Source organism: Homo sapiens, chromosome 17 (assembly GCF_000001405.40).
Source record: "Homo sapiens chromosome 17, GRCh38.p14 Primary Assembly".
Classification (NCBI taxonomy): Eukaryota; Metazoa; Chordata; class Mammalia; order Primates; family Hominidae; genus Homo; species Homo sapiens.
The window spans coordinates 5,029,196-5,055,869 of NC_000017.11; the positions used below are offsets into that span (position 1 = coordinate 5,029,196).

General features: G+C 50.2%; 1 protein-coding gene and 1 long non-coding RNA gene across 8 annotated transcripts, besides 4 other annotated features; one reads left to right on the plus strand and one right to left on the minus strand.

Annotated features, from left to right (window-relative positions):
- LOC105371501 (uncharacterized) lies at positions 1,611-24,187 on the plus strand. 3 transcript variants are annotated; one of them, XR_002958101.2, is made up of 4 exons: positions 1,611-1,702; positions 1,826-1,976; positions 2,379-2,474; positions 23,924-24,187. It is a non-coding gene; the product is annotated as an uncharacterized LOC105371501 (long non-coding RNA). The 3 variants fall into 3 exon arrangements; XR_934174.3 differs by lacking the exon at positions 23,924-24,187 and adding an exon at positions 2,727-3,422; XR_007065586.1 differs by lacking the exon at positions 23,924-24,187 and adding an exon at positions 2,727-3,422 and having other exon boundaries at positions 1,826-2,474.
- Positions 2,473-2,562: a silencer, noted in NCBI's record as "silent region_8064". NCBI's record gives its function as "represses an Ori minimal core promoter by ATAC-STARR-seq in GM12878 lymphoblastoid cells {active_cell/tissue: GM12878}" and the evidence as "EXISTENCE:reporter gene assay evidence [ECO:0000049][PMID:35858748]".
- Positions 2,583-2,722: an enhancer, noted in NCBI's record as "active region_11564". NCBI's record gives its function as "activates an Ori minimal core promoter by ATAC-STARR-seq in GM12878 lymphoblastoid cells {active_cell/tissue: GM12878}" and the evidence as "EXISTENCE:reporter gene assay evidence [ECO:0000049][PMID:35858748]".
- Positions 3,407-13,219, minus strand: SLC52A1 (solute carrier family 52 member 1). Of its 5 annotated transcripts, XM_047436338.1 has the most exons (6): positions 13,141-13,219; positions 5,666-5,876; positions 5,282-5,518; positions 4,284-5,163; positions 4,066-4,189; positions 3,407-3,974 (listed from the first exon to the last, which is right to left on the minus strand). In XM_047436338.1, the coding sequence occupies exons 3-6, from the start codon at positions 5,409-5,411 to the stop codon at positions 3,762-3,764; spliced, it is 1,347 nt and encodes a 448-aa protein (XP_047292294.1). In that variant the 5' UTR covers positions 5,412-5,518; positions 5,666-5,876; positions 13,141-13,219; the 3' UTR covers positions 3,407-3,761. The 5 variants fall into 5 exon arrangements, with proteins under 5 accessions (XP_047292294.1, XP_047292295.1, XP_011522253.1 ...); XM_047436339.1 differs by lacking the exon at positions 5,666-5,876; XM_011523951.3 differs by lacking the exon at positions 13,141-13,219 and having other exon boundaries at positions 5,282-5,514; positions 5,666-6,231.
- Positions 14,455-14,603: a silencer, noted in NCBI's record as "fragment chr17:4946945-4947093 (GRCh37/hg19 assembly coordinates)". NCBI's record gives its function as "represses an EF-1alpha promoter that drives an FKBP-Casp9 reporter gene in an ReSE screen in HepG2 liver carcinoma cells and K562 erythroleukemia cells {active_cell/tissue: HepG2 | K562}" and the evidence as "EXISTENCE:reporter gene assay evidence [ECO:0000049][PMID:32094911]".
- Positions 26,359-26,653: an enhancer, noted in NCBI's record as "tiled region #9431; HepG2 Activating non-DNase unmatched - State 4:PromP, and K562 Activating DNase unmatched - State 12:CtcfO". NCBI's record gives its function as "activates a minimal TATA promoter and a strong SV40 promoter by Sharpr-MPRA in HepG2 cells, with weaker activation in K562 cells {active_cell/tissue: HepG2 | K562}" and the evidence as "EXISTENCE:reporter gene assay evidence [ECO:0000049][PMID:27701403]".

Genomic DNA, 26,674 nt, shown 5'->3' on the forward strand with positions numbered 1-26,674 from the left:
CGGCTGACTGCAACCTCTGCCTCCCAGGTTCAAGCGATTCTTCTGCCTCAGCCTCCCGAGTAGCTGGGATTACAGGCGCGTGCCACCATGTCCGGCTAATTTTTGTATTTTTAGTAGAGGCGGGGTTTTACCGTGTTGACCAGGATGGTCTTGATCTCTTAACCTCGTGATCCACCTGCCTCGGCCTCCCAAAATGCTAGGATTACAGGCGTGAGCCACCGCACCTGGCCCTAAAAGTAGCCTTCTTTTCCCTTTTAAAGAGTTAGTGTCCATAGCTACTGGATGCCATTTTGGTTCAGGTGGACCGTGAATAGGTTTCACTCATCATGCCCAAAGGTTGCCACTCCTGACAAGTCACAGACAACGCTTGCACCATCATCTTCTTCCTTCAGAGTCTGTGGTCCCCTGGATGTCACTAAGGTCCTGCTTCCTGTACCAATAGGTTTTAAACACTACCCAAGGCAGGCTGGCTTTAAATATCCTACTTAATCTGGCTGACAGGCTCTCCCTGCACCTCTGGTACTCTGCTGCCTCATTAACAGCTCCGGCTACTCAGTTAAGGTTGGCATAGTGTCCATCTCTCCAGGTCAAAGGCCAGCAGCCTCTGCCTTGTACAGGAGTGTTCTCACTCCTGCTACCCACTTCTGTCTCTACTGAAAGGCAGGAGGAGACTGTGGCATCATTGGGATAGTACATTTCATCTAAAAGCCTGGTCACTAGATGTGAGTTGTAGAAACTGCTTCTCTCATCCCTCAACAATTTCACAGTTGTAGGAGCTGACATTAACCTGCCATGCCCCCAACAGCTAGGCGCGGTGGCTCATGCCTGTAATCCCAGAACTTTGGGAGGCCAAGGCAGGTGGATCACCTGAGGTAAGGAGTTCGAGACCAGCCTGGCCAACATGGAGAAACCCCCGTCTCTACTAAAAATATAAAAATTAGGCATAGTGGCACACACCTGTAATCCCAGCTACTCAGGAGGCTGAGGCAGAATTGCTTGAACCCAGGAGGCGGAGGTTGCAGTGAGCTGAGATTGCGCCACTGCACTCCAGCCTGGGTGACAGAGCAAGACTCAGTCTCAAAAAAAAAAAAAACAAAAAAAAAACAAATCCTGCTGTGTCCCCAACAGCCTCACCAATGAGAATTTCCACCTCAACTCCTCCTATTCCTTCCCCCACCTGCCCTCCCCACCTTAATCTCTGGAGAAGGAATATGTTTTGAGATAACTGGGAAAGTCTTGCCCTGTGGTACAATCCATTAAAGGTTCTTTACAAATGACCAGGGAAGCTGTTCTGTTTTTTTGTTTTTGTTTTGTTTTGTGTTTTGTTTCTTAAAGACAAGGTCTTGCTCTGTCACCCAGGGTGGAGTGCAGTGGTGGGTCTATAGTTCACTGAGGCCTCAAACTCCTAGGCTCAAGGGATTCTCCTGCCTCACCCTCCCCAGTAGCTGGAACTACAGGTGTGCGTCACCATGCCTGACTCTGGCTGTGTTTTGTTTTGTTTTGTTTTTGTAGAGACAGTGATCTTGCTATGCTGCCCAGGCTGGTCTCAACCTTATGGGCTCAAGTGATCCTCCCACCTCAGCCTCCCAAAGTGCTAGGATTACCTGCGTGAGCTATAGCGCCCTGCCTGTTCTGGGCTTCTTGCAGAGCCTCTTCAGCTGCAGAGAAGCAGCTCTCCTTTCTCCAAGTCCAGAGCCAACAGGTGAGGGCTGCAGTCAGAATCTCTGGAGCACACAGACCTGGGCTCCAGCCGTCTCACTAATTAGCTGTGGTACTCTGGGTAAGTCACCTTCTCTGAGTTTCAATTTCCTTTTCTGCAAAACAGGACGAATAATGAAGCTGTTGGGAAGATTTACTGATAATACATGTAAAGGGTCTAGCACATTTTAGGAGCTCAAGGTTGGTGCCTTCCCTTTTTCTTTACTCTGAACCGGATATGAGGCCTTGAGAAAGAAGAGAGGCGCTTGCAAAACGAGGTGAGGTCTCAGGCACAGTGGCTCACGCCTGTAATCCCAGCACTTTAGGAGACCGAGGCGGGCGGATCATGAGGTCAGGAGTTCGAGACCAGCCTGGCCAACATGGTGAAAGCCCGTCTCTACTAAAAATACAAAAATTAGACGGGCATGGTGGTGGGCACCTGTAATCCCGGCTACTTGGGAGGTTGAGGGAGGAGAATCGCTTGAACCCAGGAGGTGGAGGTTGCAGTGAGCCGAGACTGCACCATTGCACTCCAGCCTGGGCAATAGAGCGAGACTCCGTCTCAAGCAAGCAAGCAAGCAAACAAACAAAATAAAAAACGAGGTCAAGTTTCAAAAGATGTCACCCCCAACCTGGCAAAACTTCTCCTCAAGCCCTGTCGTTCCACTCTTGTCCGCCAGGAGGAGAAAAGGTTCCCTCGAAGGACGTCTTTGCTTGCGCGTTCACGGAGCCTTGAGAACGAGTGGCCGAGGGGACCCCTGCGGCCCTGCGCGCCTGTGAGTCTCCCGGGCGGGCGGGCGGTGGGGGTGCGAGGCCGGGGGGTGGGTGCGAGGCGTGGGGGAGGTGCGAGGCGGGCGGGGCGGGGGGCGCGAGGCGGGAGGGCGCACGCGCAGAAGGCTGGCTGGGGTGACGCGGCGCCGGGCTTGGGCTTCTGTATTCCGCGTGTCTGGAGGAAGGTCCGGAGGTGGGCGGGAGCCCTGCGGGGATTTCCTCTTCCCCCAGGACTAGCTGTCATCTTCGTTTTTCAGAAGGGAGGACCTGACTCCTTTCAGAATTAGCATTTCTTCCCCTTCGTGGGTGCTCTTGAGTTCCAAAGAAAAGGAAGAGAAGCCTTCATTGAGCAGCTTCTTCTGCCTTAGGGACTGTGCTAGGGGGTAGATCGACCTTAGGGGAAACAATCCCCGCTTATTAGAGGAGGTTTTGGATCAGGGTTTGCTTTATTTGAAATTTAACAAATACAGAAAAGCAGAAGGAAGAAAATTGAAGTAATCCATGTTTCCACTGGGCGCGGCGGCTCACGCCTATAATCCCAGCACTTTGGGAGGCCAAGGCGGGCGGATCACGAGGTCAGGAGTTCGAGACCAGCCTGACCAACATGGTGAAACCCCCCGTCTCTACTAAAATTACAAAATTAGCCGGTCGTGGTGGCACACGCCTGTAATCCCAGCTACTCAGGAGGCTGAGGCAGGAGAATCGCTTGAACCCGGGAGGCAGAGGTTGCAGTGAGCCGAGATTGCACCACTGCACTCCAGCCTGAGCAACAGAGTGAGACTCCGTTGTCTTTAAAGGCCAATCCCATAGCAAATGACAGAGACTCACTTGAGTAAGAAAGGTTTTTGACAAGAAAACCCACAGAAGAAGAGATAAGCTGTGGATATAAGAAAGGCACTACAATCTGTATTTAAATCTAATTGCACACTAGATAATATATGTATGAAAAATTATTTAATCCAGTTTCCTGATTTCATTATATATTTCTTATAAGGTTTTCATTAGGCTTTTGTTTTTGTTTTTGGTTTTAAATAAAAACACTTTATTGCACAAATCCCACAAAGGTCTCAGGCCCTGGGTCCAAGCCCACAGCCCCAACCTGTCCCCTGGCTCTGGGCCTGGTCTTTGGTGCCCACCCTGGCCTCACATGCCAACGTCTTCTGTGGAGTGTGCAGGTGTCCATGAGCGTTCCTGTGTTGGGGGAAGCCTGCCTGGGCCACAAGTAGTCAGGCACTGTGGCAGCCTCACGATGAAGACAGGTGGGGTGGAGTTGGGTCCCCACCTGCCCAGGCTCAGGGGCCACAGGGGTCTACACAGTCCTTTCTGCTTTGAAACACGTGGTAGATGCTGGTGGGAGGGAACATGGCACCGGCACCAAGCAGGGAGCCCACTTGGATGGCCACACCAGCTGCCAGCAATGCCGGCCGACCCCCACCATGCAGCAGGGAGCTTGCAGCCACCTTCACATATGAGAACACACACAGACACAGCACCCACGACAGCACCTGCAAGGGAGGACACAGCAGCAGGCTGAGCATGACATGCACTTGCTCCAGGGGACACCCTCCTCCCCACTTCATGTCTCCACTTGCTCACCACAAGGACCACCCCTGCAGTGGTGCCCACCAGGGGTGGGCAGGGGCTCAGGATTGCCAGTGCCATCAGGTAGGCCCCAAAGAGCATGCCCAGCAGAGAAAGACCAACCAGCCCTGCCAGGGACCTGTTGGGGATGAGCAGAGACTCAGGGCTGGCTGTTCTGGGACCTGGACCCCAACCTTAAGTTCCACCCACCAAGCCTGGGGACCCTTTTGCACCTGCACAGCACGCCCATGGCCAGGAAGCAGGCAAGGGGGTTGGCGGCACTGCCCAGCACCACAGCCAGGTGGTAGGCCAGGCGCCCATAGGGCAAACAGGAAAAGCTCTGCACAGAAGGCAGCACGCCATTGGTCACGGCACTGGTGAAGGCCATCAGGCCCAGCAGGAAGGCACCATGGGCTGAGAACAGCTGATGGGCCTCAGGGTCTGGGCCAGGGATGGTGCCTGCTGCCTGGCTCGGTGGCTCCTGCAATGGCAAAGCCTCTTCTTCCTCCTTCTCTTCCTCCTCTGCTCCTGGGGATCCCAGTTGAAGTTCAGGCCCTGAGCCCCCTGTGGTTACAGAGGGTAGTGATGGCAACAGCAACAGGAGACCCCGGAAGGCGGCAGCTGAAGTGACCAGAAGGGCAGTCAGTGCCCAGAAGAAGGTGCTGGCAGGAAAACGCTCAGGGAAGTCGAGGGGAGGCCCAGAGGTGCCATTGGTGGGCGCTGGTGGGCACTCGAGGCGGCCCACACCTTGCACTAGGGCCAGCACACAGGGGAGTAGGGCACTGAGACCCTGACCCAGGAAGAAAGACCGTAAGAAAGGAGGTGGCAGGTGGCTCAGGAAGGGCAGGAAAGTGACATTAGAGGTACAACAGGCCATTGCCAACACCAAGGCCAGAGTTAGGAAGGCCACAGAGTGGAGCTGCCCTGCCACTGGGGCCACGTGGTGCCACAGAGGGGCCAGCAGGGCTGTGCCCACTACACTCAGCACCTGTACCACCTGGATGGGGACCTGCTCGCCCTTGCCCGGGGCCAGCTGCCTCCACAGGGTCACCACCAGCAGACCCAGGTTTCCCAGCGCCACAACCACAGAGAGGTATGAGGGGAGGCTCCAACCTGCAGGGAAGGAATGATGCCATGTCAGGAGCACAGTGGCTAAGGGACAAAGAGCTGCCACAGGCCACCTTTCTGGGCATACCTGCCCCACGCTTCCCTGTACCTCCCTCCCACTCACCCTCTGGAAGGTCTTTTACCACCACAGGCAGCTCCACCCAGATCCCGTTCACAGCAGCCCAGGAGCCCATGCCAAAAAGGGCCACCAGCAGGTGGGTCAGCACCAGACGGCCCAGCGTGGGTGCTGCCATTCAGCCCAAAGCTGGACCCTCCAGGACAGGGCAAAGGTCACAGGCAGGTCCTTCCCTAGGTAGGTCCAAAGATGCTTTGGTTCTTCTGGAAACTGAAGACCTTCTAGCTGGAGGGAAACAGACAGGCTGGCAGGTAATAGGCTGGTGGGACAGAACCGGAGTCAGAAGACAAGTCGGTCAGACTGCTAAGACCAGGGCAACTGGAGGGAGAGGTGGCCGGGGGCGGGCGGGGAAGGTGGGGAGCCAGGACTTACCACGGGGCACCGGCTGTGCGTTTGGGTACAGCGACCCAGCAGTGCCGGCAGGCAGACAGGCAGAAAGCTGGCCCGAGGTGCAGCTGCCCCAGAGGAGCAAAGAGGGAGCTGATTTTCCTACCCACAGAGGACCCGGGGTCCAAGTTGTCAAAACAGCTCAGCACTGGCCGGGTGCGGTGGCTCACACCTGTAATCCCAGCACTTTGGGAAGCTGAGGAAGGCAGATCGCCTGAGGTCAGGAGATTGAGACCATCCTGGCCAACATGGTGAAAACCCGTCTCTACTAAAAATACAAAAATTAGCTGGTCGTGGTGGTGGGTGCCAGTAATCCCAGCTACTCAGGAGGCTGAGGCAGGAGATTCACTTGAACCCGGAAGGTGGAGGTTGCAGTGAGCCAAGATCACACCACTGCATTCCAGCCTGGGCGACAGAACGAGATTCGGTCTCAAAAACAAAACAAAACAAAACAAAACAAAAAAACAGCTCGGCACCAACACGCTCACCCTCAAATGGACCCCGGGACAAGGGCACGTCTCTGGTGCCACTTGCAACCCTAGCGCTTTTGCGACACTCAGGACTTGCTGAGGCAGGTCGAGTTGGAGAGGGGAGTGGCTGGGGCGGGCTCTGCCCGGAGGGGCGTCTCCGTGCTGCCCTCCCGCCTGCCTCAGGGGGGCATCCCGGGAGCCGCCAGGTGCGCAGGGGTCCCCGCACCTCCGGATCCGGCAGTCCCCGGACCCAGCGGCTGGCGGTCTGCCTGAGAGGGAGCCCCCTCCGCCGGGGAGGCGGCCCAGCCCAGAGCCCACACAGCTGGGGTTTTGTTGTTTGTTGTTTTAATTAATTAATTAATTTTGAGACGGGGTCTCACTCTGTCACCCAGGCTAGAGCGCAGCGGTGCGCGATCGCGGCTCACTACAGCCTCAACCTCCCAAGCTCAAGGGATCCTCCCACTCAGCCTCTCCCCACCCCCCCACAAGTAGCTGGGACCACAGGCGAGCATCACCATGTCCAGCTAATTTTTTTTTTTTTTTTTTTTTTTTTTGGTAGAGACAAGGTCTCACTATGTTGCTCAGGCTGGCTTGGCACTCCTGGGCTCAAGCAATCTTCCTACCTCAGCCTCCCAAGTAGCTGGGACTACAGACGCACCACACCTAGCTACCGCCACGCTCAGCTGTTTTTACACTTTTTTTTTTTTTTTTTTTTTTTGAGACGGAGTTTTGCTCTTGTTGCCCAGGCTGGAGTGCAATGGCACGAGCCTCTGCCTCCCGGGTTCAAGCCATTCTCCTGCCTCAGCCTCCCGAGTAGCTGGAATTACAGGCGCCCACCACCATGCCCTGCTAATTTTTGTCTTTTTAGTGCACAGGGTCTCGCCATGTTAGCTAGGCTGGTCTTGAACTCCTGACCTCAGGTGATCCACCTGCCCCGGCCTCCCAAAGTGTTGGGGATTACAGGCGTGAGCCACCGTGCCTGGCCAGCTGTTTTTACACTTTTAAATGGTTGAAAAAAAATTAGCTGGACGTGGTGTGCACACCTGGCTAATTTTTGCTTTTTTTTTTTTTTTTTTTTTTTTTTGAGACGGAGTCTCGCTCTGTCGCCCAGGCTGGAGTGCAGTGGCGCGATCTCGGCTCACTGCAAGCTCCACCTTCCAGGTTCACGCCATTCTCCTGCCTCAGACTCCCGAGTAGCTGGGATTACAGACGCCTGCCACCACGCCTGGATAATTTTTGTATTTTTCGTAGAGATGGGGTTTCACCATATTGGCCAGGCTCGTCTCGAACTCCTGACCTCAGGTGATCCGCCCGCCTCAGCCTCCCAAAGTGCTGGGATTACAGGCGTGAGCCACCATGTCTGGCCCTTTAATGATATTTTGTACTTGTTTACTCACTGACCATCTCAGGGATTACCCTGACCTACTACCCATTTTTGTATGGCCTGCTAGCTAAGACAGGTTTTCACATATTTATTTATTTATTTTTATTACTATTTTTGAGAAAGTGTCTTCCTCAAAAGGAAGTGCAGTAGCACAATCACAGCTCACTGCAGCCTCAAATACCTGGGCTCAAGGATCCTCCCACCTCAGCCTCCTGAGCAGCTGGGACTACAAGCACATGCCACCACGTCCAGCTGTTTTTACATTTTTAAATGGTTGGAAAAAAAAATCAATATCTGTAGTCCCAGCTACTCAGGCGTCTGAGGTGAGAGCATCCCTTGAGCACAGGAGGTCAAGGCTGCAATGAGCCATGATTGTGCCAATGTACTCCAGCTTGGGTGACAGTGAGACCCTGTCTAAAACCAAAACAAAACAAAAAACAAAGAAAACAAAAGAATCGTATTTCCTAACCCGTGAAAACTAAAAGCATATGAAATTTAAATTTCGGTAGGCCAGGCGTGGTGGCTCACGCCTGTAATCCCAACACTTTGGGAGGCCGAGGCGGGCTGATCACCTGAGATCAGGAGTTCAAGACCAGCCTGGCCAACATGGTGAACCCCGTCTCTACTAAAAATACACAAATTAGCTGGGTATGGTGGCGGGCGCCTGTAATCCCAGCTACTCGGGAGGCTGAGATATGAGAATCGCTTGAACCAGGGAGGTGGAGGTTGCAGTGAGCTGAGCTTGTGCCACTGCAGTCCAGTCGAGACAACAGAGCGAGACTCCATCCACCCCCCCAAACAAAAAAAAATTTCAGTGTCCATAAATAAAATACTATCAGAACACAGCCAAGCCCATTCATTTACCTATTGTCTACACCTGCTTTCCTGCTATAAGGGCAGAGCTGAATGGTTTCCACAGAGACTGTGTGGCCCTCAAAGCCTAAAATGTTTACTGTCTGGCCATTTACAGAACAAGTTTGCTGGTCTATCTCCCTCACTAGGATGTACGTTTGCGCGGAGGAGGCACTTTGTCTATTTCACTACCTACCCTATTCTCAGTGATCATTATACCACATAGGACGTGCTCAAATTGTTGTTGAATAAATAAACCAATAATACCCTAAAATCTGTTTCTTTCTTTCTTCCAATAATACCCTAAAATCTGTTTCTTTCTTTCTTCCTTCCTTTTTTTTTTTTTTTTTTTTTTGAGACGGAGTCTCACTGTGTCGCCCAGGCTGGAGTGCAGTGGCTCAATCTCGGCTCACTGCAAGCTCTGCCTCCCAGGTTCACGCCATTCTCCTGCCTCAGCCTCCCGAGTAGCTGGGACTACAGGCGCCTGCCACCACGCCCGGCTAATTTTTTGTATTTTTAGTAGAGACGGGGTTTCACCATGTTGGCCAGGCTGGTCTTGAACTCCTGACCTCAAGTGATCCGCCCGCCTCAGCCTCCCAAAGTGCTGGGATTACATGTGTGAGCCACTGCGCCCGGCCTAAAATCTGTGTTTCAAAAAACACAAGCCTGACACAGTGGTGTGTGCCTGTAATTCCAGCTACTCAGGAGCCTGAGGTGAGAGGATCACTTGAGCCCAGGAATTTGAGGCTGCAGCAAGCCATGATTATGCCACTGCACTCCAGCCTGGGCAACAGAAGGAGACCCTGTCTCTTAAAAAAAAAATAGTAAAATAAATTTTGAAAGCTTCCTAGGTGACTCTGATGTGCAACCAAGCTTGCCCTCACTGCTTAGGGAAAGGCTAAACCAGACAGAAATGGGGTCACATTTAGTTTCCCACAGTAATACCAAACAATGATGTTTCTAATACTCCAAGAGGATGAGAAAAGACACCATTTATCCAGCACTTTTCTTTTTTTTTTTTTCGAGACAGAGTCTTGCTCTGTTGCCCAGACTGGCGTGCAGTGGCGCAATCTCGGCTCACTGCAAGCTCTGCCTCCTGGGTTCACACCATTCTCCTGCCTCAGCCTCCTGAGTAGCTGGGACTACAGGCGCCCACCACCACACCCGGCTAATTTTTTTGTATTTTTTAGTAGAGACGGGGTTTCACCGTGTTAGCCAGGATGGTCTCGATCTTCTGACCTCGTGATCCGCCCACCTCGGCCTCCCAAACTGTTGCGATTACAGGCGTGAGCCACCGCGCCTGGCCTATCCAACACTTTTCTTGTTATATGCCAGGTACTGGCATAAATATTTAAAAAATATTAACAAACAATCCTCCCAAAAGTCCAATGGAGTGGCTACTATTATCAATACTCCATTAAAAGGAAACTGGAAACCGAGGCACATAAAGATTCAGTCAGCCGGGCGCGGTGGCCTCATGCCTGTAATCCTAGCACTGTGGGAGGCTGAGGCAGGTGGATCACCTGAGGTCAGGACTTTGAGACCAGCCTGGCCAACACGGTGAAACCCCGTCTCTACTAAAAATACAAAAATCAGCTGGGCTTGGTGGCACGCACCTGTAGTCCCAGCTTCTTGGGAGGCTGAGGCAGGAGAATCACTAGAACTCAGGAGGCGGAGGTCACAGTGAGCTGAGATCGTGCCACTACACTCCAGCCTGGGCAACAGCGAGAGACTCCATCTCTAAAAAAAAAAAAAAATTCAGTCACTTGTCCAACCTTCCACAGGTAGGGAGCAGAGCCAGGATTTCAGTGTTGGTCACGGTCTAACTGCAGGAACTGTCCCCTTAACGTAGGTGATCACCTCACCCCTTGGCCAAACACCCTGCCACTGCCTATCTGCAAATCAGTAATTGACAATTTCTCACTCTGCCACCCAGGCTGGAGTGCAGTGTGTGATCTCGGCTCACCGCAACATCCGCCTCCTGGGTTCAAGTGATTCCCCTGCCTCAGCCTCCCGAGTAGCTGGGGTTACATGCACCCACCACCAAGCCTGGCTAATTTTTATATTTTTAGTAAAGATGGGGTTTCACCATGTTGGCCAGGCTGGTCTCGAACTCCTGACCTCAGGTGATCCGCCCGCCTCGGCCTCCCAAACTGTTGGGATTACAGGCATGAGCCACCGCGCCCAGTCAGTAATTGACAATGTATAGACAATAGTTCCCTATATGTTAGGGACCTTGCAGAAGAGGGAAAGAAAAATTATAAAGTGCAGATGCTTCTCTTGGAATGACTTTGGGACAAAAGAGATCACCATGTCCTTAGGAATAGAGCTCCAACTAAAGAAAGGCAGAATGCTAGAGAGGCCGCGACAGGAGAGGCAAGACCCACATGGAGGGAGTCAAGGAGCCGGCTATAAATGGTGAACGGTCATTGTTGGATGTGTGCCTGGGGTGGTTGTGATGTGTAGGATTACAAAAGTGCCTTGTGTGCGGGCCCCACTGAGGGATGGATACTTGAAGTAGAAAGTGGAAGAACATTACTTAATGAAGGAGAACATCACTGAGCACTGGCGGGTCCCTAGATCAAATTTGTTCTTTTCCTTCTTTTTTTTGAGACAGGGTGTTGCTCTGTCACCCAGGCTGGAGTGCAGTGGTGTCATCACATCTCACTGCAGCCTTAAACTCCCAGGCTCAAGTGATCCACCCAGCTCAGCTTCCTGAGTAGCTGGGACCACAGGTGTGCACCACCACACCTGGCTAATTTTTAAATTCTTTGTAGAGACTAGGTCTTGCTCTGCTGCATAGGCTGCTCCCAAACTCCTGGGCTCAAGCAATCCTACCACCTCAGCCTCCCAAAGTGTTGGGATTATAGGCATGAACCACCGTTCCTAGTCCAAATTTGTTCTTGCGTGGGGTGAGAGGACTAATGCAAATGATAAGATCTGTCATTGTGGTTTCGACACTACGTGCCTCAAACCTTAGCTTCTCCCTGAATTTTCAGAAAAGAGCAAGGGATGGCCTTGGGGTCTGGTGCACGGGGAATAACCAAGGGGACCGAAGGTCTAACTCGCCAAGGTGCAGAATCCTCACCTGGAAGATCCCTCTGCTCCTTGGTAGATGGGCTACCTGGTACTCTGTTGTGGCCACACAGCCCTAAGGCTGTTACTTGGCAGTTCAGTTCACCATAAACCTATCATAACCCTATAGCACCGAATAGCACTTTTTTTTTTTTTTGAGATGGAGTCTCACTCTGTAACCCAGGCTGGAGTGCAGTGGTGCGATCTTGGCTCACTGCAAGCTCTGCCTCCTGGGTTCACGCCATTCTTCTGCCTCAACCTCCCGAGTAGGTGGGACTACAGGTGCCTGCCACCACGCCCAGCTAATTTTTTGTATTTTTAGTAGAGATGGGGTTTCACCGTGTTAGCCAGGATGGTCTCGATCTCCTGACCTCGTGATCCACCCGCCTCGGCCTCCCAAAGTGCTGGGATTACAGGCGTGAGCCACCGTGCCCGGCCTGTTGTTATTTTTGAGACAGGGTCTCTGTCGCCCAGGCTGGAGTCCAGTGGCAAGATCATAGCTTGCTGTAGCCTTGAACTCCTGGGCTCCAAGTGGTCCTCCAGCTTTGACCTCCCAAGCAGCCGGGACCATAGGTGTGTGCCAGCCACCACGGCTGGCTAATTTTTTACTTTTATTTTTACTTATTTATTTATTTATTTATTTTGAGATGGAGACTTGCCCTGTTGCCCAGGTTCGAGTGCAGTGGTGCAATCTTGGCTCACTGCAACCTCTGCCTCCTGGGTTCAAGTGATTCTCCCATCTCAGCCTCCCAAGTAGCTGGGACTACAGGTGCACACCACCATGCCCAGCGAATTTTTTTTTGTTTCTTTGTTTTGTTTTATTTTGTTTTGTTTTTCTGAGATGGAGTTTCACTCTTATTGCCCAGGCTGGGGTGCAATGGTGCGATCTTGGCTCACTGCAACCTCCGCTTCCTGGGTTCAAGTGATTCTCCTGCCTCAGCCTCCCGAGTAGCTGGGATTACAGGCACCCACCACCCTGCCCAGCTAATTTTTTGTATTTTTAGTAAAGACAAGATTTTATCATGTTGGCCAGGCTGGTCTCGAACTCCTGACCTCAGGTGATCCACCTGCCTCGGCCTCCCAAAGTGCTGGGATTACAGGTGTGAGCCACCACACCCCAAAATTTTTTTGTTTTTAATAGAGATGGGTTTCATTATGTTGGTCAGGCTGGTCTTGAACTCCTGACCTCAAGTGATCCACCTGCCTCGGCCTCCCAAAGTGCTGGGATTACAGGCGTGAGCCACCGCACCCGGCCTATTTTTAAGGATATGGTCTCACTGTGTTTCCCAGACTGGTCTCAAACTTCTAGGCTCAAGCAATCCTCCTGCCTCAGCCTCTCAAAGTGCTGGTATTACAGGCGTGAGTCACCATGCCCAGCCGTCCAACTTCCAATTTTTCACTGCCCCTAATTTCTTTACCCAGAAAGTACCTGGAATCCTAGACAATGGTTAGGGCTTCTATTCTGAAGACCTCACTGCAGCATTTAGCATTCTCGTGTTGGGGATGGATAGGGAGAGGGCGCACACAATCCCTGCAGCCTTCTGGGGCACGGGGCTGGCCTTACAGTAAGCACTTGAAGGCCCTTCATTCATGAACTGTTGTGCAGGGGATAAACTCTTCCTACTGACTTCCTCTTGAACCCCTGTCCCACTTCCCGTGTCTGTGTAGAGAAAGCTCACCACAGATGAATGTACTGTCTTCCTCTGCCTTCTGCTCCGGCAGCAGCTCTCCACCCTCTCCTCTATCTCAGGAACACCTGGCCTCAGAGCTCAGGGGAGGAGGTAAGCCCAATCAGTCTGAATCCTTATCTTATTCCTTCTGGCTTCAATCTGGCTTCTCCTGGATCTTGAACCCTTCCCTGTGGGTTAAAAGGCCATAGTCCTCTTTTTTTTTCTTTGTTGAGACGGAGTTTCACTTTTGTTTCCCAGGCTGGAGTGCAATGGCGCGATCTCAGCTCACCACAACCTCCGCATCCTGGGTTCAAGTGATTCTCCTACCTCAGCCTCCTAAGTAGTAGCCACCGCGCCTGGCTAATTTTGTATTTTTTTTTTTTTTTAGTAGAGACAGGCTTTCTCCATGTTGACCAGGCTGGTCTTGAACTCCCAACCTCAGGTGATCTGCCCCCCTCGGCCTCCCAAAGTGCTGGGATTATAGGTGTGAGTCACCGCGCCTGGCAAAAGGCCATAGTTCTTACCCCTCCAGCGTGACTGTCTCTGGGCCTGGCTTGGTTTTGACAACTCACCTGGGGGGCAGAGAAAACCCAGCCAACTGGTACAACTTAAACCTTTAGGGTGAATTTAACATTGCCTTGTCTCCTGCCCGAACAGATACCTCTACAGAGCAAACATTTTGTGAGATAAGCCCATAGATGAGGTTTGATACTCTTCCATTAAAGACTGGGGAATATTTGGAACTCAAATCTCAGCGGGGCCTTGAGTGGCAACACTGGCTTTCAAGGGCTGGAAAGAACTTTCGAGAACATTTAATCCATCATCTCATTGTACTCTTTTTTTTTTTTTTTTCTTGAGACGGAGTCTCGCTCTGTCGTCCAGGCTGGAGTGCAGTGGTGCAATCTTGGCTCACTGCAACCTCTGCCTCCTGGGTTCAGGTGATTCTCCTGTCTCAGCCTCCCAAGTAGCTGGGATTACAAGCACCCACCATCTCGCCTAGCTAATTTTTGTATTTTTAGTAGAGATGGGGTTTCACCATGTTGGCCAGGCTGGTCTCAAACTCCTGACCTCAGGTGATTCACCCGCCTCAGCCTCCCAAAGTGTTAGCATTACAGGTGTGAGCCACCACGCCCAGCCAATCATCGTATTCATTTTTGAAAGTATTTATGGAAGGCCCACTGTATAGAATGCATTTTGTTATGTATTTGGATGACACAAAGGCATATAATATACATAAGTAAAATCTTACAAGGCCTGGCCCTGTCCTTCCTCTCCTACCTCCTTTCTAGCACTCTCGGCCTCCCAACAAATTGCTTATGGTTCTCTGCAGACCCCACACTGTGTCCTACCTTTGTGCCTTTCCTCTTCCTGGAAGATCCTCCACACCTCACAGCCCCCCTCTACTGGCTGGCTTCCACTCAACAGTGAGTCTCAGCTTAGCTGCTGTAGCCTCAGGAGGCCTTGACTCTCTCAGACTGGGTTAAGTATCTCCCTCCCTCCCTCCCTTCTTTCCTTCCCTTTCTTTCTTTATTTTTCTTTATTATTATTATTACTTTTTTTGTGATGGAGTCTTGCTCTTGTTGCCCAGGCTGGAGTGCAATGGCGCCATCTTGGCTCACCACAACCTCCGCCTCCCAAGTTCAAGCGATTCTCCTGCCTCAGCCTCCCGAGTAGCTGGGATTACAGGTGTGCGCCACCACACCTGGCTAATTTTGAATTTTTAGTAGAGACAAGGTTTCTCCATATTGGTCAGGCTGGTCTTGAACTCCCGACCTCAGGTGATCCACCCGCCTACGGCCTCCCAAAGTGCTGGGATTATAGGCGTGAGCCACCGTGCCTGGCCACCTTTCCTTTCTTTCTGCAGGATCTTGCTCTGTTGCCCAGGCTGTAGTGCAGTGGTGTGATCACAGCTCACTGCAGCCTTGATCCCCAGGGCTCAAGCAATCCTCCCACCTCAGCCTCTTCAGTAGCTGGGGCTACAGGTACATGCCACTACACCTGGCGATTTTTTTAGAATTTTTATTTTTTGGTAGAGACAGGGTCTCACTATGTGGTCCAGGCTGGTCTTAAACTCCTGAGATGAAGCAACACTCCTGCCTTGGCCTCCCAAACTGCTGGGATTACAGGTGTGAGCCACTGCGCCCAGCCCCCCTTTCTTTTTAAGCTTACCTTATCACCACACTTACCATGTGATCATGAAATTATAGACTTTGTGCTTGTCATGTCGTGCCTTGACCCTGGACTCCTTGCCTTTAGGGATTGAACCTTATTCACCCTTTTAGTGAGACCCAGATTCTCCTCTAATAGGGACTGCAGCCTAGTAGGAGAGAGAAGGCAGCATGATCTCCTAACATGACTCCATCAGGGTGGGCGTGATAGATGCCAGAAGAGCAGTACAAATGAGGAAACTGAGGCTGTGGCTTGCCTGAAGTCACCTTCAGCTTCTTGGCAGGTGGCCAGAGCTGGAAGTCTACCTCCAGTTGGACACAGGAGCCTGGGAAGGAATTCGAAAGCAACCCAACCTTTCACCTCAGAGCTGAAGTCCTTGAGCCTCGGGGCAGTTGTGACTAAGATCAGGAGCCCACAGCCTAAACGGGGGAATGTTCTGGGTGACGAGGCAGTGAGGAGTAGTGAAAGGAGCCTGAGACTGGGCACCAGGAGACCTGGGTCTTGGTTCATGCTCTGTTCCACCTGACCTCTCACCTTCAATTCACTTTAGTCCGTGATGAGAACCCTTGGGTCAAATGGGCCTCCCCAAGATGTCACATCTTTTTCTGAGCGTAAGGTGACTTATGTCCTTCCCCAAGCATCTCCTGGCCAATAAACTGCCCTTCCTTAAGATCCAGCTCAGCTTCTACCTCCTGAGTGAAACCTCTTCATCTTCCTCACCAGGTGTAGGCTGAGGGCTTCTCTTCCCTCCTCTGAACTCCCATAGAAAAAATTTACTGGCTGGGCATGGTGGCTCACACCTGTAATCCCAGCACTTTGGGAGGCTGAGGTGGGTGGATCACCTGAGTTCAGGAGTTTGAGACCAGTATGGCCAACATGGCGAACCCTGTCTCTACTAAAAAAAAATACAAAAATTAGCCGGGCATGGTGGCGTGCGCCTGTAATCTCAGCTACTCAAGAGGCTGAGGCAGGAGAATCTTTTGAACCTGGAAGGCGGAGGTTGCCGTGAGCCGAGGTAGTGCCTCTACACTCCTGCCTGGGTGACAGAGCAAGATGCCGTCTCAAAAAAAAAAGAAAAGAAAAAATTTATGTTCCCTTCTTAGGAAGCTGAATCTTGTCCTGCTTTACTGTTTACTTATGTGCTTATCTTGTTTTCCCCTAGTAATTTACCCCCATTACATTTTCCCCTCTCAAGAGCAAAGGCCGTATTGGTTTATGTAGCTTCCTTATTACCTAATTTATGGTAGATGTTCAAATGTTTGTGGTTTTTTGTTTGTTTTTTTTTTTTAGACTTTGAATCTCACTCTATCGCCCAGGCTGGAGTGCAGTGGCATGCTCCTGGCTCACCACAACCTCTGCCTCCTGGGTTCAAGCAATTCTCGTGCCTCAGCCTCCCAAGTAGCTGGGATTACAGGCATGAGCCACCATGCCTGGCTAATTTTTGTATTTTTTTAGTAGAGAAGGGGTTTCACCATGTTGCCAGGCTGGTCTCGAACTCTTGACCTCAAGTGATCCGCCCACCTCGGCCTCCCAAAGTGCTGGGATTACAGGTGTGAGCCACCGCGCCCGGCTCAAATATTTGTTGACCAAAAGAATGGCTCCCTCTTATCAGTAAACTGCAGTGGCCAAAGGCATGGAATCTGAGACACCCGCTAGCTGTGTGACTTTGGGAAGTCACTTAAGCTTTCTGTGCTGAAATGTCCCCAACAGTAATAGGGACATAATGATGCCAACTTCATGAGGTTGTGCTGAGGCATCGATGGGCACCTGGCCCCATGCCTGGCACATGGTAAGCACTGTCAGTGTTAGCTCCTAGGCCCTTCCTCCTTCAAAATGTGTCAGAGCTGGCAGCTCACACCTGTAATCCCAGCACTTTGGGAGGCCTAAGCGGGTGGATCATTCGGTCAGGAGCTCAAGATCAGCCTGGCCAACATGGTGAAAACCCATCTCTACTAAAAATACAAAAATTAGCCAGGCATGGTGGAGGGCATCTGTAATCCCAGCTACCCGGGAGGCTGAGGCATGAGAATTGCTTGAACCCGGGAGGCAGAGGTTGCAGTGAGCCGAGATTGCACCACTGCACTCCAGCCTGGGTGACACAGCGAGACTCTGTCTAAAAGAAAAAAATGTGTCAGAGCTGTGAAGCTGTCCTTGCTACTGAAACACTGTGGGGGAATGAGACATTTCCCCTGCCCAAGGGGCTTCTTCCTCGACCTCCAAATCTGCTCTGACCGATCTACTGATAAGTGGTGAAACCCTCCCAGGGAGCTTTTCTTGTCCTAGATATTTGTGTGGATTACTTGGTTTGGGTCTGCAGTTTAGAGTGTAGATTGGCCAGGCGCGGTGGCTCACACCTGTAATGCCAGCACTTTGGGAGGCCGAGGCGGGTGGATCACGAGGTCAGGAGATCGAGACCATCCTGGCTGACACGGTGAAACCCTGTCTCTACTAAAAATACAAAAAAAACTAGCCGGGCCTGGTGGCGGGCGCCTGTAGTCCCAGCTAATCGGGAGGCTGAGGCGGGAGAATGGTGTGAACCTGGGAGGCGGAGGTTGCAGTGAGCAGAGATTGCGCCACTGCACTCCAGCCTGGGCAACAGAGCAAGACTCTGTCTAAAATAAATAAATAAAATAAAATAAAATAAAATAAAGTAGAGTGTAGATTTACTTTTGAGACAGGGTCTCGCTCTGTCACCCAGGTTGGAGTGCAGTGGCACAACCACGGCTCACTACAGCCTCGACCTCCTGGGCTCAAGTGATCCTCCTGCCTCAGCCTTCCAAGTAGCTGGGACCACAGGCATGTGTCACCACTCCTGGCTAATTTTTAAAGTATTTGTAGAGACAAGGTCTCTCTATGTTGCCCAGGCTTGTTTCGAACTCCTGGGCTCAAGCAATCCTGTCTTGGCCTCCCAAAGTGCTAGGATTACAGCCATGAGCCATGGCACCCAGCCTAGATTTACTTATTAATTGATGTGGGGTGTGTGTGTGTGTGTGTGTGTGTGTGTGTGTTTTACAAGAAGGAATGCCTTTAGATAGCTTCCTGATTTTCAGAGAACCCTCAGATGTTTTCATATTGGTAGAGTTAATTAGAGCTAGAATAGTAATGCCACTGGGGTTAATAACTATTCGGTCCAGGAGTGAAGTCAGCATCTTAGGATCAATGTGGTTTACGACTTCCTGGAACAAAGACAGTTTTCCACAACAAACCCTCAAACAGATGTAGGTTCTAGTAATAAACATGATCAGACTCAAGGTTTCAAGGTTGCAAAGTGACAATTCTCACAGTTATGAAAATGACCTTTCTAGGAGGAAGGAAAAGCTCCTTGCCCCTTATAGAAAATCAAAACAAACTGAAACCCAGTTTTAGCGGGCCAAGATACAGAATAAGTCAAGATTTAACTTAAATTTTATGGCCACTGGTATGTAAAAATTTCCCCACCTTATTTCTTGTCCTTCTGAAAAACAAAGGCTAATGACTAACCCAGGGCCTTGCATTCTCTAACCATTTCTTTTCTTCTTCTTCTTTTTTTTTTTTTCTGAGATGTTGTCTTACTCTTGTTCCCCAGGCTGGAGTGCAATGGCGCGATCTCTGCTCACTGCAACCTCGGCCTCCTGGGTTCAAGCAATTCTCCTGCCTCAGCCTCCCAAGTAACTGGGATTACAGGCGCACACCACCACACCTGCTAATGTTTGTATTTTTAGTAGAGACGGGGTTTTACCATGTTGGCCAGGATGGTCTTGAACTCCTGACCTCAGGTGATCCACCTGCCTCCGCCTCCCAAAGTGCTCGGATTACAGGCGTGAGCCACCATGCCCGGCCACATTTTCTAACCATTTCAATCTGCATCCAAATTCTTTGGTTTAAAGGGTTTTTTTTTGTTTTGTTTTTTGTTTTGTTTTGTTTTTAAATGGAGTCTTGCTCTTGTCATCCAGGCTGGAGTGCAATGGTGCGATTTCGGCTCACTGCAACCTCCGCCTCCTGGGGTCAAGCGATTCTCCTGCTTCAGCCTCCCGAGTAGCTGGGATTACAGGCGCCCACCACCATGCCCAGCTAATTTTTGTATTTTTAGTAGAGACGGGGTTTCACCATGTTGGTCAGGCTGGTCTTGAACTCCTGACCTCAGGTGATCCACCTGCCTCGGCCTCCCAAAGTGCTGGGATTACAGGCGTGAGCCACCGTGCCTGGCTGGTTTAAATGTTTTTAATTCCACAGGGTGAGGTGGATTTTCTTAGGATGAAAGAGACTGAGGTGCTGAAGTGGGAGGTGGAGAAATAACACAAATAGTGGAGTGAAAGCTGGGCTACAACCCAGTGGAGGGAAAACAAACATGTTCCACATGGATTTCCACCAGGCATGGTGGCTCATGCTGTAATCCAAGAACTTTGGGAGGCCGGGGAGGGAGGATTGCTTTGAGCCCAGGAGTTCGAGGCCAGCCTGGGCAACATGGCAAAACCCCATCTCTACAGAAAAAAAATGCCAGGAGCGGTGGCTCACACCTGTAATCCCAGCACTTTGGGAGGCCGACGTGGGCAGATCACGAGGTCAGGAGACCAAGACCATCCTGACCAACATGGTGAAACCCTGTCTCTACTAAAAATACAAAAATTAGTTGGGTGTGGTGGTGGGCGCCTGTAATCCCAGCTACTCGGGATGCTGAGCCAGGAGAATGGCTTGAACCCAGGAGGCGGAGGTTACAGTGAGCTAAGATCATGCCACTGCACTCCAGACTGGTGACAGAGGAAGACTCTGTCTCAAAAAAAAAAAAAAAAAAAATTAGCCAGGTGTGGTGGTGTGTACCTATAGTCCCAGCTACTCAGGAGGCTGAAGCAGGAGAATCGCTTGAGCCCAGAGGTGGAGGTTGCGGTGAGCTGAGTTCACACCACAGCACCCCAGCCTGGAGCCTAGGAGTTTGAGGCCTCAGTGAGCCCAGATCGCACCACTGCACTCCAGTCTGAGCAACATCCTGTCAAAAAAAAAAAAAAGAAAAGAAAAAAGAAGTAAACATGTTTCTTTGATTTCAATTGTCTATTAACCACAATGAAAGCCTGAAGCTCAAAGCAGCTATTCTTTTGCCTGTTTTTGCTCCCCTACACCACTAATAATTTCTGTTATAGAAACTTTGACTATTTTAAGGCTCCCGGTTATAGCTGTGCTTCTTTTCACAGAGCCTACATCTGGCACCAGACAGAGGCCTGCAGGGAAAGTGAGCCTTCTCAAGCCCTGCATTCTTTCAAAGAGGGGACAAACTACAGACACTCATTTTGGGTGTCTTCCCAGGCACGGGTGCTGAAATTATCCTCTGTTCTGGTGTGGGGCAAGGGTGGGATTGGAGGAAGCTGCCTGGGCAAGCGAGGTCCTCCTCACGCTGTTGCTTGTCACCTTTCAAGGGCATTTATTTTGCTTCTGGTCTGATAAACAAATAATAAGATTTTCCGTGGAGGACTGGACAATCAGAGGAACTTCAAGAGGAGGGGCATATTCCTGCCTTTGGGACACGAGGAAGGAAAGGAGAAAGGAAAAGATAGACTTAGAAAGCTTCACTGCAGGCCAGATGCGGTGGCTCAAACCTGTAATTCCAGCACTTTGGGAGGCCGAGGCAGGTGGATCACCTGAAGTCAGGAGTTCGAGACCAGTGAAAACCCGTCTCTACTAAAAATACAAAAATTAGCCGGGTGTGGTGGCAGGCATCTGTAATCCCAGCTATTCAGGAGGCTGAGGCATGGAATCACTTGAACCTGGGAGGCGGAGGTTGCACTGAGCCGAGATCTTGCCATTGCACTCCAGCCTGGGCGACAAGAGCAAAACATCGTCTCAAAAAAAAACAAAAAAACAAAAACAAAAACAAAAAAAACCACAGCTTCGCTGTGCATCCTTGAGCTGCTTTTCTATTTCAGTTGAATGCATATTGCAGTTTATCATGATCACATGCAAGCGCTGCCCTACAGCTGGGCGGTGAGTTCAGAGCGATTACCATGGAGACTGAGAGAAGATTGCGTATCATCCCCCCAAACAGCATTCCAGCGTGGGAACGCCAAATCCAGATGTGAAGAACACAAACAAACAGTATGCAAAAGTTCAGAAGTTAGACTGTTTTTGAGATTGTGCCATTGGACTACTGAAAAGAGACATAAAGATGCAATTCCAACATATTGTATGATCCTGTTTATATGAAATATATAGAATAGACAAACCTCTAGAAATAGTCTCACCTGTCCAGGCTCAGCTCAGAGTGCCACTCCAGTAAGCACAGACAAGTTAATAAGTCAAAAGATACAGGTTAATCCCAGGCATAGTAGTTCGTGCCTGTAATCCCAGCACTTTGGGACGCTAAGGGGGCGTGGATCACCTGAGGTCAGGAGTTCGAGACCAGCCTGACCAACATGGCGAAACCCTGTCTCTACTAAAAATACAAAATTAGCCGGGCATGGTGGCACATGCCTGTAATCCCAGCTACTCGGGAGGCTGAGGCAGGAGAATTGCTTGAACCCGGGAGGCGGAGATTGTGGTGAGCCGAGATCATGTCATTGCATTCCAGACTGGACGACAAGAGGAAAACTCCGTATCAAAAAAAAAAAAAAGGAAAGAAAGAAAATAAAAGATACAGGTTAGAGACATATCCTATCACTGTGACATTGATAAAGATCATATTGTAAAATGGTGAGGGGGGTGGTATGAAATATTTCATGGGAAATACACATGGCCAATAGACATGTGGAAAAGATGCTCTCCCTGACTGTATATATCAAAGAAAGGCAAATTAAGACATCAGTAGGATACCATTTCTCACTTGAAAAGAAAAGAATATTTTAAAGGCCAGGTGCAATGGCCCATGCCTGTAGTCCCAGCACTCTGGGAGGCTGAGATGGGCGGATCGCAGGAGCCCAGGAGTTCGAGACCAGCCCAAGCAACATGGCGAAACCCCATCTCTACAAAAAATAAAATTTAGTTGGGCATGCTGATGTGCACCTATAGTCCCAGCTACTCAGGAGGCTGAGGTGGGAGGATCCCTTGAGCCCAGGAGGTTGAGGCTTCAGTGAACTGGGGTCACACCACCGTGCTCCAGCCTGGGTGAAAGAGCGAGACCCTGTCTGAAAAAAGAAAAATAATACTTTTCAGATAATTTGATTGGTTGGAATTCAGTGAAAGAATCTCAAACCCTGCTGCTATAAATTGGTAGATGAAGGAGGAATTCAGTTACCAGAAGAGGAACAGAGGCACTGGGTAGGTAAAAGCAACAAGGGCTCATTACAAAGCTTTTCTTATTTTGGTCTTTTTTTTTTTTTTTTTCCTGGATAAGTCTCTTGAAATAGAATTATTGGGTGAAACTGTATGACATAGCTGAGGCTCTTGTAACAGACTGCCAAGTTTCTTTCACAAATGGTGATTCTAATATTCCTTTGCATTAGCAGTACAGGGGTGTGCCCCATGCCACCACTCAAAAACAAGCTTTGAAAATGAAAGATAGGCCAGGCACCGTGGCTCAGGCCTGTAATCCCAGCACTTTGGGAGGCCGAGGCGGGTCGCTTACCTGAGGTCAGGACTTCGGGACCATCCTGGCCAACATGGTGAAACCCTGTCTCTACTAAAAATACAAAAATTAGCCGGGCGTGGTGGTGGGCGCCTGTAACCCCAGCTACTCGGGAGGCTGAGGCAGGAGAATCGCTTGAATCAGGGAGGCAGAAGCTGCAGTGAGCTGAGATCACGCCACTGCACTCTGGCCTGGGCAACAAGAGCGAGACTCCGTCTCAAAAAAAAAAAAAAAAAAAAAGAAAAAAAGAAAAGAAAATGAAAGACAAAATAACACCTATAAGCCAAGTGAATAAAGGGCAACAGGACTACAGATTTTTTTTTTTTTTTTTTTTTTTTTTGAGACTGAGTCTCGCTCTTGTTGCCCAGGTTGGAGTACGGTGGCGTGATCATTAGTCAACACAGCCTCGACCTCCCAGGCTCAGGCAATCCTCCCACCTCAGCCTCCCAAGTAGCTGGGACTACAGGCGTTGCATTACCATATCTAGCTATTTTTTTGTTTAGAAGGATCTCACTCTGTTGCCCAGGCTGGAATCCAATGGTACGATCTCAACTCACTGCAACCTCTTCCTCCCAGGTTCAAGGGATTCTCCTGCCTCAGCCTCCCGAGTAGCTGGGACTATAGGCATGTGCCACCATGCCTGGCTAGTTTTTGTATTTTTAGTAGAGATGGGGTTTCACCATGTTGGCCAGGCTGATCTCAAACTTCTGACCTCAGGTGATCCGCCCACCTCAGCCTCCCAAAGTGCTGGGATTACAGGTGTGAGCCACTGCACCCAGCCAACCAGCTAATTTTTGTAGAGACAGGGTTTTGCCATGTTGCACAGACTGATCTGGAACTCCTGGCTCAAGTGATCCTCCTGCCATGACCTCCCAAAGTGCTGGTCAGATCTCAGCTTGGACACTACACCAAGCCACGAGGAGGTCTCCGGATTTTTGTGCCTCATTTTGGGCAACTGCTAAATGAGGGGCTTGGACTGGCTGATTTTTAAGTTTCTTGTGGCATTAATATTTTATAACTCTATAATAACAGCTTCTCTACAGCTTTGAAAGGTTTGGAACAGAGGAAGAATACCTGACATTTATTTGTTGCCAGGAGCTAGGACAAACTGATACTCAGCGGAAGGAGTCCTGAGAATAAAGAAGTGCAGAAAATGGCTGGTGTCAGTCCACAGATGACCAGACTCGTTCACTGGGACATGTAAGACATCCTTTAGGGGTTTGCACAAATAGCTGGTGAGTACTTTGTCTGGATTTGTGGGTCTACACTGATGAGTGGGGCCAAGAGCCAGAGACACAGAAGCTATGTTTTTGTTTGTTTGTTTGTTTGTTTTTTGAGATGGAGTTTCACTCTTGTTGCCCAGGCTGGAGTGCAATGGCGTGATCTCGGCTCACCACAACCTCTGCCTCCTAGGTTCAAGTGATTCTCCTGCCTCAGCCTCCCGAGTAGCTGGGATTACAGGCGCCTGCCACCATGCCCGGCTAATTTTGTATTTTTAGTAGAGACGAGGTTTCTCCATTTTTGGTCAGGCTGGTCTGGAACTCCCAACCTCAGGTGATCTGCCTGCCTTGGCCTCCCAAAGTGCTGGGATTACAGGCGTGAGCCACCACGCCCAGCAGAAGTTATGTTAATATGCCTGAAACCTAATATGCCCTGCCCAACCCAACTTTCTCACCTGCCAGTAGTACCCTGACTTTCCAGTCATCCCGGCTCAAACCGTGTCCTTTTTGACTCCTTGCTTCTTTTATTTGATTATAGTTACAGCCAGCAAGTCCTAACAGCTTGTTCATTCAACAGATATTCTGGAGCTCCCATTTGCTCAGCCCACACTGATTTCTTTCCTCTTACAGCATTTGCATTTGGTACACTCGGCTTGGCACCTGAGAATACTTTTCTTTTCTTTTTTTTTTTTTTGTTTGAGACAGTCTCCCTCTTGCCCAGGCTGGAGTGCAGTGGCACGATCTTGGCTTACTGCAACCTCCGCCTCCTGTTCAAGCAATTCTCATGCCTCAGCCTCCCAAGTAGCTGGGATTATAGGCATGCACCACCACACCTGGCTAATTTTTTTTTTTTTTTTTTTTTTTTTTTTTTAGTAGAGACGGGGCTTCACCATGTTGCTCAGGCTGGTCTCGAACTCCTGACCTCAGGTGATCCATCTGCCTTGGCCTCCCAAAGTTCTGGGATTACAGGTATGAGCTGCTGCACCCGGCCAGATTTCACTTTTCATTTGAGGTGGGTGCCCCTAAGTGTACTGACTTCACCTCATCTGTAACTCCTCTTAGGCAAGGGTAACATCTCACACCTCTTTGTATCTTTCCCAGGACCTACTTCACAGTCCTGTGTTCCACTGTAGGCCCTCATTCTCTATATTTGTATGTACCTAGATAGTGTGGGTCTAGGCTCTGGGGACAGAGCAGTGAAAAAAAAAACCTAACAATAATCCCTGCCCTCGTGAATTATACAATCAGAGGAGAAAACAAAACAATAATTTAAAAAGTAAATAAAATATGTAGTACGGGCCGGGCGTGGTGGCTTATGTCTTAATCCCAGCACTTTGGGAGGCTGAGGCAGGTGGATCACCTGAGGTCAGGAGTTCGAAACCAGCGTGGCCAACATGGCAAAACTCTGTCTCTACTAAAAATACAAAAATTAGCTGGATGTGGTGGCACATACCTGTATTCCCAGCTACTTGAGAGGCTGAGGCAGAAGAATCGCTTGAATCCAGGAGGTGGAGGATGCAGGAGCAGCCACTCCCGTGCGGGTGACAGAGCGAGACTCCGTCTCAAACAAAAACAACAAAAACAAAAACAAAACAAAACAAAGACAACTGTTTAGAAAATATAAAGTGAGAAAGGGGGCTATAAAGTGTGTGACTGGAGGGAGGTAGGACACTGAACTATTAGATAGGATGGCAGACTTTTGGGTAGAGTATAAAAGAGGTGAAAGAGACATAAGGGCTCTGGAGGAAGAGCATTCTAGGAAGAGAGAATAGGATATGCAAAGGCCCTGAGGAAGGAATACGTCTCATACCATCCCCAGACAGCAAGAACATGGAGGCTGTTTGTTGCATTTCCCGTCCTGCATTACAATAAAAAAAAAAAAAAAAAAAAAAAAAAAAGGCAGGCCTCTAGCAGCTCGAAATAGCCATAACTCATCATCATCACTCATGATAAGAACTCAGCATTTGGCTGGGTGTGGTGGCTCACGCCTGTAATCCCAGCACTTTGGGAGGCCGAGGCGGGCAGATCACCTGAGGTCGGGAGTTCGAGAACAGCTTGACCAACATGAAGAAACCCCGTCTCTACTAAAAATACAAAATTAGCCGGGCATGGTGGTGCATGCCTGTAATCCCAGCTACTCAGGAGGCTGAGGCAGGAGAATTGCTAGAACCCCCGGGAAGTGGAGGTTGCGGTGAGCCAAGATCGCGCCACTGCACTCCAGCCTGGGCAACAAGAGCGAAACTCCACCTCAAAAAAAAAAACAAAAAACCATAGATTTTTAAGGCCTCGGCACTGCCATACTATGACATGGGCCTACCCTGGGTGGTCATTGTCCCATCTTGCACAGCCCCCAACCTCTTCTCTGGAGGACAACGACAGCACAAGAAAGCGCTCTGAAGATGAGCCGCATCACCACTCTTCCAGCTCACCATCGATTTGGAAGCCTAGAGAGGATCGGCCTTTCTAGGACAATAGACGGTTCCTTCTCCTCACCTAGAGTGGCCCTAAGAGGACGAGGGCGCCTCCCTGGTCCTCCAGGGGAGTGTGCATCCCCAGGTGCACAGGGAAACGAGCTCTCATCCTACCACCCTTGGGCTTTTACAGATGCTTTTCTCCCCTTCACTTT

What these genes read in the sequence shown, in the direction of transcription:
- SLC52A1 (XM_047436339.1), bottom strand. Translation starts at nt 5,411, where the DNA reads ATGGCAGCACCCACGCTGGGCCGTCTGGTGCTGACCCACCTGCTGGTG. An exon ending in GGTAAAAGACCTTCCAGAGG is followed by an intron (nt 5,164 to 5,281) that starts GTGAGTGGGAGG and finishes CCTTCCCTGCAG; the next exon opens with GTTGGAGCCTCCCCTCATAC. An exon ending in CTGCAGGGGTGGTCCTTGTG is followed by an intron (nt 3,975 to 4,065) that starts GTGAGCAAGTGG and finishes CCTCCCTTGCAG; the next exon opens with GTGCTGTCGTGGGTGCTGTG.